This window comes from Homo sapiens, chromosome 1 (genome assembly GCF_000001405.40).
Source record: "Homo sapiens chromosome 1, GRCh38.p14 Primary Assembly".
NCBI classification, from domain to species: Eukaryota; Metazoa; Chordata; class Mammalia; order Primates; family Hominidae; genus Homo; species Homo sapiens.
The window spans coordinates 195,731,788-195,742,705 of NC_000001.11; the positions used below are offsets into that span (position 1 = coordinate 195,731,788).

Here is a 10,918-nt window from a genome sequence, read left to right on the forward strand (position 1 = left end):
GGTGGCTCACAACTGTAATCTCAGCATTTGGGGAGGCTGAGCTGGCCGAATTGCTTCAGCTCAGGAGTTTGAGACCAGCCTGGGAAACATGGTGAAACCCTGTCTCTACAAATAAATACAAAAATTAGCTGGGTATGGTGGTGTGTGCCTGTATGCCTAGCTACTCAGAAGGCTGAGGTGGGAAAATGCTTGAGTCCAGGAGCTGGAGTTTGCAGTGAGCTAAGATCGCACCACTGCACTCTAGCCTGGGCAACAGAGTGAGACCTTGTCTCAAATAATAACAACAATAAAATTGTGTGAAGTATAGTTAAGTTTTTAATATCTATCTATTGATCTATCAATATTATTCCAAATGAAGACACTATGTTTCTGGAGCAGAAAAGATTATTATTTATTTATGTTGTAGTAGGTAGCCAGTCAGACATAAGAAGGACAGGAGAGGACCCCTGCCCCAACCAGGAATGTCAGGCAACCATCTTGTGATGATCAGGCAGTTGTTAACCCGTCCCTCAAAAATCATAACTGGTCACAGCCCATGCCAGGGAAAGGCAGTCTCCCAATAAACAGAAACATCTGAAACTGGGGACCAGCAGCTTCCTGATAAGATCTCAGGAGTTGGGTGAGTGGGATCAAGCATGTGCACTAACAGGTAAAATGGCAGAGTTTAACTGGTATATGACCTCCTTGGGATATTTTACTGGTAAGGGGAAAATGCCTCAAAGTGAGCATGCACACAATTCCAGGAAACACACTATGCATAGTCCCCTCCCAGGCGCTAGCCAGCCACTGCACATGCAGACAGGCCACCCCAAGGGAAGAATCAGGGGAGAAGAGATGCAAGACCCTAGAAATGTGCCAATGTATAAAAGTGCAATTAAAGCCCAAACAGGGCACGTGATCTCTCAAGCCGCCTACTTGGCCCTCTCTCAAGTGTACTTCATTACTTTTTATTCCTGCCCTAAAACTTTTTAATAAACTTTCACTCCTGCTCTATGACTTGCCTTGATCACTTCTTCTTCCTTGTGCCCCTCAGTCGAATTCTTTCTTCTGAGGATGCAAGAATTGAAGTTGCTGCAGACCCATGTGGACTCACCACCACTAACATAATTTGGTGCTGTGACCCAGATACATTCCACTGCTAACATACTTTGGTGCCACGTGACTCGGATACATTCCCTAGTGGTAAGAAACCTCTACACCTCACCTTTGGCTAGAGATATTCAACCCCCATAAATAGTTTTCTTCTCCCCTTTCACTCTTCTCTTTATTAACCAACCCCAAAATGATTCCTCTCAGACACATATGGCTCTGCTCCCACCAACTGATCTCTTCACTCACCCTGATAGGTGGCTTGTGGGGGTGGGAAGAACCTTGGGGTCTGCATCAAGTAGAACTGAGGCCCTAATGGCCCTCCTGGACAGGACGCTCATAAGAATGGTAGAGCTAAAGCCTAAAACCGTGCAATGTCTGGGGTTTCATCTGCTTTTTCAACTAAAATTGTCTCTTTCCCAAAAACCTACACTACTTATTCTCCCATTTTCTCTGTTTGTGTTCCAAAATGGCCTTGAGCACACACTGGACCATCAACCTTAGGGCAAATCTTCCTCTTTGCTTTCACTTCACAGGCCACCTGGCTTCTCAAACACACGCTCCCTGTTATTTGTGCTTCCACAGCTCTTACTGCATTTGCCCAGCAGCAAAGACATGGGCTCCCTTGCAGATACCCCTTGAGATTTATACTTGTTCTTACCTTAACAGCTAGGATGACCACCACCCCTGGTACAGACACTGATTGGAATACTGTCTCTGCCAGCATCTTATGACTCACTATACGCTTTTAGTTCCTGTTACATCTCAGGGCCAAGTTTCTTAGTGTCTTTTGAAGCAGCTTGTTTACCAGCACGGGGCGACACTCTGGACCTTTAAGGATCCCACTTACTTGCTTTTTTGAGTTAGCACCCCTTTGGGAAAAGGTAAAATTCTTCCTGAACTGTTTTGAAGTTTCTATCCCAGGTCCCAAATTATCCAAAAGTTACTACTTCACATCAAGAGGGCAAATAAACATTGCCCTCTCGAATCCAAGGGCTGCTGTTTCTGCAAGCATAAGAAGGCTTTCCAGGAGTATTCCTCTCACTTTCTCCCACTTCCTCCTGTAGCCTGCTTTTCTCTAATTACTTCCACACCCATCTCAACTTGCATCAAGACCTTCAAGGTCACATTCAAAGCAAGAGGGAACAGAAGTCCAGCCCCCTTGTGGCAGTTAACTGAAAAGCAGGCTTCTCATCTACTTAAAGAACATGGGAAATGGGAATCTAAGAAAAGTGATAATCATTTTGTTGCTAAAATGCTCTATGAGAGAGTCACTATAAGGTCATGGAGACAAAGATATAGGCCAGCCCAATGCCACATGCCCAAGAGATCCATAGAACAGAGATAAAGTTTGGTCCCCAGCTAACAGATTGACATTAGAACAGAGGTGAAGGCAAGATTAGGGGTATACAGTAAGACCAGTTCATTCCAGAACCCCAAGGATGAACAGGGGGCACACTGTTCGCTCCAGTATCTCCTCTGTTCTAAAGTGGGTAATTGTGGGGATGAGATGAGACCAAAGTTAAGAGTACATGATAAGACCAGTTCATTCCAGAACCCAAAGGATGATGGGGGACCACATTCATAGGAAAGTAAGATGGAACACCTTCTTTTTCCTTTTTTCTCCTCTCTTCTTTCAGATGGGTAATCACGTCTCCATAGCACAGGCATGTCCTTTGGTGCAACCTCAAAAAAAGGGAAAAGTTTGATTCTCCCAAACCTTAAAACAAATAACTCATTTTCCTTTGTAATACTGTTTGGCTTAAAAATGAACTGTGAGGAAATTACAGAAGACAGCCTTGAAACCCAGTGCCTTTATGCAGGAGATACTCAGATTAGCCTCTTCAATCTTTCATAACTGAGAACAAAAACAGGAAGACAAGGGTAAGAAAAAGAAGAAACATAGGGACCAGAGGCAAGCTCAACTATTGGCTGCTTTACAAGCTCTCCAGCGCCCTCCTGGTTGCCCTCAGAATACCCTCCCAGGTAACTTCCAGTGGTGCAAGAAGCAAAGCCACTGGAAGGCAAACTGCCCCAATAGCATAAATGGGAAAAAACCCCTCATGGCTTGCTCCCTCTGCCACAAGCTTGGAGGCTGAAAACAAGACTGCTCTGAGGGCGAAAGTTCCCCTAAGACAGAATTTCAACTCCTGATAGACTTGAGGTTAAGGGGCTCTCTGCTCTGGCTGGCTTCCAAATCAGACATTGTCATTAAAAGGACAAGGGCAAGGGCAACTCCAAAGGCCACAAGTAACATCACAAATTTCCCTTTTGGGTTCCAGAGCTGCCTACTCTGTGCTAATCTCCTTCTCTGAGGAAGTCTCCTTCAAGTCCTGTTGGGTAATAAGGAAAAATAGCACTCCTCTTTCCAAAAGAAGAAATTCACACCCCTTTATATTACTTAAAGGACCAATTATCATTCTCCCACCAGTCCTGGGGAATGTCTAAACACTCCACACCTGTTGGAGGAATCATAAAGTTTCCAAGATGGGTGCTCACTTAATATTTACCCAATCTCTGAATTCATCCTCCCCTTTTATAGCCCCATTCCTCCTGGGAAAGCAAAGTAAATCTTTAACCAATGACTTTAACCTGGACAGTCCTACATCAGGGATTTCAAAATAGCCACCACTTATTTGGACCAGCCCTAGCAAAAATTGAACTGAGAAATCTCTTGTGGGAGGGGTGGGGGTAATTTCTACAGTATTTAGATAACCTTTTTATTTGCTCCTCCTTAACAGGACTCACACAGCAATATGAAGTACAAACCATAAATTCCTACAAGAAGGTTATAAATGTAAAGAGGTATTTTTGTAAGGAAGGTTACAAAGAAAAGAGATTTTTATATCAGAAATTATCTTGTATAGTAAATTCTTGTCCTAAAGTAAAATAACTGGTTGTTTAAAAAGGGATGTTTAGGAAAAGTCAGAAAGTTCAAGCATATAATAGATGGTCTGTATACGTCATGAAAATATTCATGAAAGGGAATTTATAAAAGAAATATTGTACAATTTAAAAGTTATTAGGCTTACTGAATGCTTCCTAACTTGCAACTATGTATGACTTTCAAATATACAACTTGCCTGCTTTAATATTAGGTAAGGCCTGGGGACATACAGAGTTAGCTATGTCCCCCCGGCTATGCTGGAAAGAGTCAGAACTTATCTGCACTTCTGACTGGTGTACTAGGCTCTAATCCTGGTATAATTAGAAACATTTACCATATTTTTCACTAAAAGTAAAAGTTGCTAAGAGTTAACAGTGTAACACGTATTTGAGATTACCTGAAAAACAGTGTTAGATAAAAGGCATGTAAGGACAGTAAGATGTACTTAATTTTAAGACAACATAGGGATGAGGATGTTTTCTCCTAGTTTAGATGGTTGAAGGATTGTTTTAAGTTAAACAGGATAAAGCTAAAGTTTGAGCAAGTTTTACAAGATCTGTAAAAAATTAATGTTTTAAAAAATTCTGTGTGTGAACATATTAGCTAAAATTAAAGGGATGTTATTCAGTTTTCCAGAAATTGAACATTGGAATAAAAGCATAACATTGTTTTCTTAGAGAATTATCCTGCTTTTTAAGAGAAAATTGTAAATAGTTATAAAATGTTTATGAAAATCTTACCTTATGGTCAAATAGATTAAGATTGGATACATTTGTCTATAAAGTTTTATTAAGGATTTGGTTTAACACCAATAGTAGGCTAATACAAAGGTAATATCTGGCTTTATTTGGACTGTATTTGTGTAAATGTGTTATTGATATGTGTTCCAAAGTACATAACACAATGATATGTGTTAAAACTCCTATCATTCTGATAAAACTTAAATAGTAAATGTTATGTGAAATTATTGTGTGCCACCAAGGTAACAAATTTCCTTGTCAATCGTAACTTTCAGTATGGTTGTCCTAAGACAATTTGTGATCTACAGACAATTGTTGTCTTACTTTAATCCTCTTCCAAAGGTGGTTTTATAATCAACTATAGGTCTCTAACAGGTGATCTTAAAGGCAGGTTTATAATAACTTTCAAGACTGTGACATTAGAATAAAGGAAAAAAACTTTCAGGACCATCATGGAGAGTGGAAATATTCACGAATATAAGCATAACAAGACTAAACTAATAGAAGACTAAAATCATCCTGTTATGATTTTTTGCTTAAAACTGCTAATCTTTGGCTTTTCAAATCTAAAAAATTTTTCTTTTGAGCTGTTTTCAGTTTTTAACAATTGACTATAGTGTAATCCTATAAACAAAATTTGGAGCATATTTCTTTCTCTCTACGTAATTTCTCCAGAATTTTGAAACCATTTTTGAGTATTATTAACTTATAGCCATATGGCTATTTGCATAAGTAATCTAAGAGTCTTTTTTCTTTAGCAACAGGACACAATTGGAGAAACTATTTTACCAAGACTTTGACTGGAATGGCCTGCTTTTCTTTAAGGAATCTAATTTATCTATGGAGCCAATAAAAGCCCCTTGAGAAAACTGGCCTCTCTTACCTTCTCTACACAGTCACTGTACAGCTCTTGTGGTAAATAAAGAATGTCACTTTCTGACAGGACCAGGAGCCCCAATTTATCCTGTGACCTCAAGAGGAGAAAAATTTATCCAACTCGCACAGGTACTTGGTGACACCAACCTATGGCTGGGCTTAAGGCTTTAATAAAACTCTTATCTGAAATTTCCTATGAAATGAAGTTACATCAAAGTCAATTTAAAAAGGAGCCTATATGGCAAATAATTGCATTTGTTGTGCTTTATGCAAATAATCGAGCCAAGTGTAATAAAACTAAAGCTTAGTTTGCAAACAAATCAGTCCTATCATCATTTGTTTTTAAGAAAATTGAACACTGAAGAAAAAAATTGTTTCAAAAACTATGGTATACATTTTATTAGATTCTAGTCTCATCAGTTATTTTTGAGTTTTTGTCTTCAATTTAGACTAACCCTGCTTAGCCTTATGAACCAACTAGTGATCTCTGGCTTCAGGTCAGAAGAAGCAATAGGAATGGGTAATATAAAAAATCTGGATCAATATTGTGCTTCTGGGAACATAATGGAATTGTCTAGCAACCCCATGCACCCAAGTCTTAGCAGACATAACTATAGCCACCAGATACCTGGGCTTGTTGGAAGCCTCTGAATTTTTTGGAGCTGCCCTCACCCACTTATTTTGTTTTTACATTCTTCTAAATCTAATAACCCAATTTGTCTCCTTTCACCTTCAGGCCATCAATATCCAGATGATCCTCAGTGAGGGATACCCTCCTGTCAATATTCAAGAGTCATTCTTCTACAGAAGACCCTACACTGTCCATAAGTGAGAAATGACAGGGGCAAAACACTGCTGCTGTGTCCTTTGGACCTAACTGGATAACACTTTCACTAACCCATGGAGTTACTTTCATGCCCTGATAGCTAACAAGAGGCCAAGACTCACAGAACAACCACCACCACACCTGTCTGCAGTAAGCAATTACCGAAGACAGATCTTCGTCCATTTGTCCTAAAGAATTGGGGTCTTTGCGCCTTGATGGGTGGAATACTATGGTAGGTAGCTAGTCAGACATAAGCAGGGCAGAAGAGGGCCCCCTTCCCCAACCAGGAATGTCAGGCAACCATCACATGATGGTCAGGCATTGTTAAACTGCCTCTGTAAAATAATTGTTCACAGCCCATGCCAGAGAAAGGCAGTCTCTCAATAAAAGGAAACACCTGAAACTGGGGACCAGCAGCTTCCCGATAAGATCTCAGGAGTTGGGTGATTGGGCTTAAGGGTGTGCATGAAGAAGCAAAACGGAAGAGTTTAACCGGCATATGACTTCCTTAGGACATTTGACTGGTAATGGAAGAACACCTCAAGTGAGCATGTGTACAACTACAGTAAACACACTGCTCATGCTTCCCTGCCAAACACCTGCAGGCCACTGCACAAGTAGAAAGCACACCCCAAGGGAATTATCAGGGGTGAAAGGAGAAAAGACCCCAAAAGTATGCCAATATTTAAAGCCTTAAGTCAAAGGTCAAACCATGCACTTGATCTTTCAAGTCACCTACTTGGTACCTCTTCCAAATGTACTTTACTTCCTTTCAATCCTGCCCTAAAACTCTTTAATAAATTTATCTCATGCTCTAAAACATACCTTGATCTCTGCTTCTGCCTTATGCCCCTCAGTTCTTTGTTCTAAACAGCCCTTTTTTTCTAAGGAGGCAAGAATTGAGGTTGCTGCAGACGCCTACATATTTGTCGCCAGCAACATACTTTGGTGCTGTGTGACTCAGATAAATTCCACTACTAACATTTATAGCAAATTGTTCCAATTTCTACTCCTGGACAAGACAATGAGAACTAGACATCATTCTAAGCTTAAAGAGGCCTATGATAGGTAAGAAATTTCAAAAATATATAATTCCTTATTGATTTAAGAAAAAGAGGCAACTGTCCCCTTTCCACTTCTTAGAGTATCTTCTTGGAAAGTAATGGAAATAATTCTAGTTACTTCCTCTAACTGTTTGGAATGCAAATAAATCCTGCTAGCGGAAAGATAAGATCACTGTTTCCAGCTAAAACACCCTAGGGATGCCTCTATGGCCCCAGGATCTTGTGAATCTTTGATATGTAAACACACAGCTCAGGACAGGCAAATCTCTCTAGATTTCTCACTCTTTCTTCAGTTATAAATTAATTTCTTAAGTCTTGTGCTTTAAACCCAAGCCCCAAATTCCACTAAAATTTGCCCACAAAATCCTAATGGTGCAGAAATATTGAAATATTTTCTCTACAGCCCTATAGGTACATCCAAAGTGTTATGGAGTCACATTAAGGGGAGGTACAACCAACTTGGATGGATTAGAGATAGTTATCCAAAGAATTGATTCTGAGTCTTAAAATATTATCTCTTAATAAAAAGAAAACAAGTTCAGTACAGTTACATCCCTTGCCCAAGTTCATTTAGTACTAAGTATTATTTGCTACTACCCTTCACAGAATAAAAAGTGAGTAGTAAGAGGGATAGTGAGAGGCCGGGCACGGTGGCTCACGCCTGTAATCCCAGAACTTTGGGAGGCCAAGGCGGGTGAATCACTTGAGGCCAGGAGTTCAAGACAAGCCTGACCAAAATGGTGAAACCCCATCTCTACTAAAAATACAAAATTAGCCAGTTGTGGTGGTGCACGCCTGTTATCCCAGCTACTCGGGAGGCTGACACAGGAGAATCACTTGAACCTGGGAGGCAGAGGTTGCAGTGAGCCTAGATTGCAACATTGCACTCCAGCCTGGGCATCAAGAGTGAAACTCCATCCAAAAAAAAAGGGGGGGCGGGGGTGGATAATGAGCGCATTCCAGGCGAAGGGGAAAACACTTACAAAGACGCATTAATATAAGTAAACTTCAAATAACATGAAACTTAAAATGTACATATACACGTAGAAAAAGATAAAGCAGAGATTTAGGTGTGAACCAGAACTAAAATTCTAAGCCCCCCAGTGACTGAACAGAACCCCCCTTGGTCATGAAGATTTCAAAGAAACCTGAAAAACTAGTTCAGGTCATGACAGAAAGGGAAGTGTTGGATATGCTTCTTTGTACTCTCTTTTCTTCGGAGTTTAGACACAACTGACTAGCATTAACATTGAAATAGAGATCATAAGACTGGCAAAATAGGCTTTTGGTACCAATAAGACACCAACACCAGCCTGACTCTGATATAGCATCTCATGACAGCAGGCCCTGAAGGAAATCAAAGAATGTTGACTTTATTAATTTAAATAGGAGATTTTATGGAAAAAAGAAATTGTGAAGAATAGGCAACAAGGCAATTTTGGATAGGATGAGCAATAAAATCATGGAATCAGATGATTGGAAGAACTCACAAGACTTCACAGAGCATACTCCTTGAAGGTGTTTTACATAGGCAACAATTATGGTATAACTGGAAAAATAAAGAACATGAAACAATTGGAGCCCTATTGACTTTGAGGTACTTCTTCCTAGGGTCATAATTACACAGGACATGTTTTATCTTTAGTTTATAAAACCACCACCTAGATGTGTGCAAGAAGTTTCAGTTTCAGGGAGGTCAAGCAAAGATTCCAATGGGGTTTTTTATGCCTTACTGATCATATAGCCAAACGACACATTTTTACCAGTGACATCAGACAAAATTTATGAATAATCAAGCAAGATCTGCATGCCTCCAGGGGAATTTCAGATGTTAAACAACATATTTTCAATTATTAGTCAGCCCACTCACCCTATTTGGGCAAAGAGTCAGTACTAGACTTTCCATCATTCCTGGAGATAAGCATAGAATTCCATCAGTCCATCTTTAAAATAACTCTGTCCTATAAAATTTGAAATATAAAACCTACAAATACAATCAAATAAAAGAGCCCTATAAGAACCTACATATGTAATACTAAAGGTTATGAAAAAATGTAAGATTTAAGAGTAAAACATAGAGTAATGAAAATGTAGAAACAAATTGTATCCTTGAAGAGTATATACCCTAAGAAAAACATGATAAAAGTAAATGAACTTAAGTTTCATGTATCTGTCAGAAATTTTATTGGAAATTTGATTCAATAGTAGTATAATTGTATATATGAATCTGGATCTTTGGAAGGAGGTCTAAGATGAGATAGAGAGAGAAGGAGATAGAGATACATAGATATCTGATATTCGACTAGGGTATTGATGGTATATGAAGAAATAACATGAGACTGCATGAAATCACCAAAAGAATGAAGGGTAAATTAAAGTAAAAAATAATTAGAATCAAGTGACAAGGCACCAGCCCTTAACATTCTACTGTTGGACTTTGGAGAATAGCAGTGAATCAGCAAGAGGCAGAGATGGAACAACTAACTAAGAAGGAGAAACTAACAAGAGCACGTGTTGCCCTTGCAGGTTAGTAAGGAAGCTGTTTTAAGAAAGGAAGAATGATCATTTGTGCCCAGTGCTGCTACAAATCACGGCCTATGAAGCATGAGACACGACTATTGCATTTTAAAATGTAGAGATTGTAGGTGGACTGAAAATAGAATTTGATGGATGGGTGAGATTGCCAGCATACAGAGCAGGATAGACCATGACAGGAATGGGTTAAAAAGACTAGTGAAAATGGAGGCATTTGGCGGGGCGGGGGTGGGGGGAGGGGGGGCGGGGGTGGGGGGAGGGGGGCGGGGGCAGGGGAGATTCTACAAAGATACTGAAACCAAGCAGCCAGCCAGAGATATGTGAGAGAAACTGGAAATACATCATTTTTGTAGACAAGGGAAAGGAGTATTTCAGCAAGAAAAGCCTGAGTTAGATGCTGCTACAGGTCATATTAAAAAAGAACAGAAAAAATGTCTGCTGGGTTTAGCAACGTGTTCCTCAGGCCATAGAAATAGTGTTTTGATAGAATAATGGTTACAAAAAACAGATGGGTGTGCATTGAGGAAGAATCTTCTCAAGAAAACAGAGTTGGTTTTCTTTGTGTAAAGTTCCTATTTCTTTTATGATGCTAATCTCATCACAACTGTGATACTTCACCCAATGGTAACTATGTTTAGTATACTGATATTAAGGAAGGTTAATTCTCTCCGCTGTCAGCAGCGCTAGAATTTGTCCAATACAGGTGCTTCCTTTTGAATGAGAAAAAAATGCTGGAAGTTGAGTGCTAATTAACAGTCAATTTATAGTGTTGAAAAATGGATGCTTACGTCTCTGATAAAACAAATGATGATAAACTAATTTTAAACACTAAGGATCACAAAAAATCTTGTTTTCAGTAACTAGTTCTACATAAAAATTTGAATAAACTTCCTCCACCAAA

At 39.5% G+C, this 10,918-nt stretch overlaps 2 annotated features.

The window, feature by feature from the left end:
• Positions 2,092-2,386: a silencer, noted in NCBI's record as "tiled region #1679; HepG2 Repressive non-DNase unmatched - State 13:Ctcf". NCBI's record gives its function as "represses a minimal TATA promoter and a strong SV40 promoter by Sharpr-MPRA in HepG2 cells {active_cell/tissue: HepG2}" and the evidence as "EXISTENCE:reporter gene assay evidence [ECO:0000049][PMID:27701403]".
• Positions 2,092-2,386: an enhancer, noted in NCBI's record as "tiled region #1679; K562 Activating non-DNase unmatched - State 13:Ctcf". NCBI's record gives its function as "activates a minimal TATA promoter and a strong SV40 promoter by Sharpr-MPRA in K562 cells {active_cell/tissue: K562}" and the evidence as "EXISTENCE:reporter gene assay evidence [ECO:0000049][PMID:27701403]".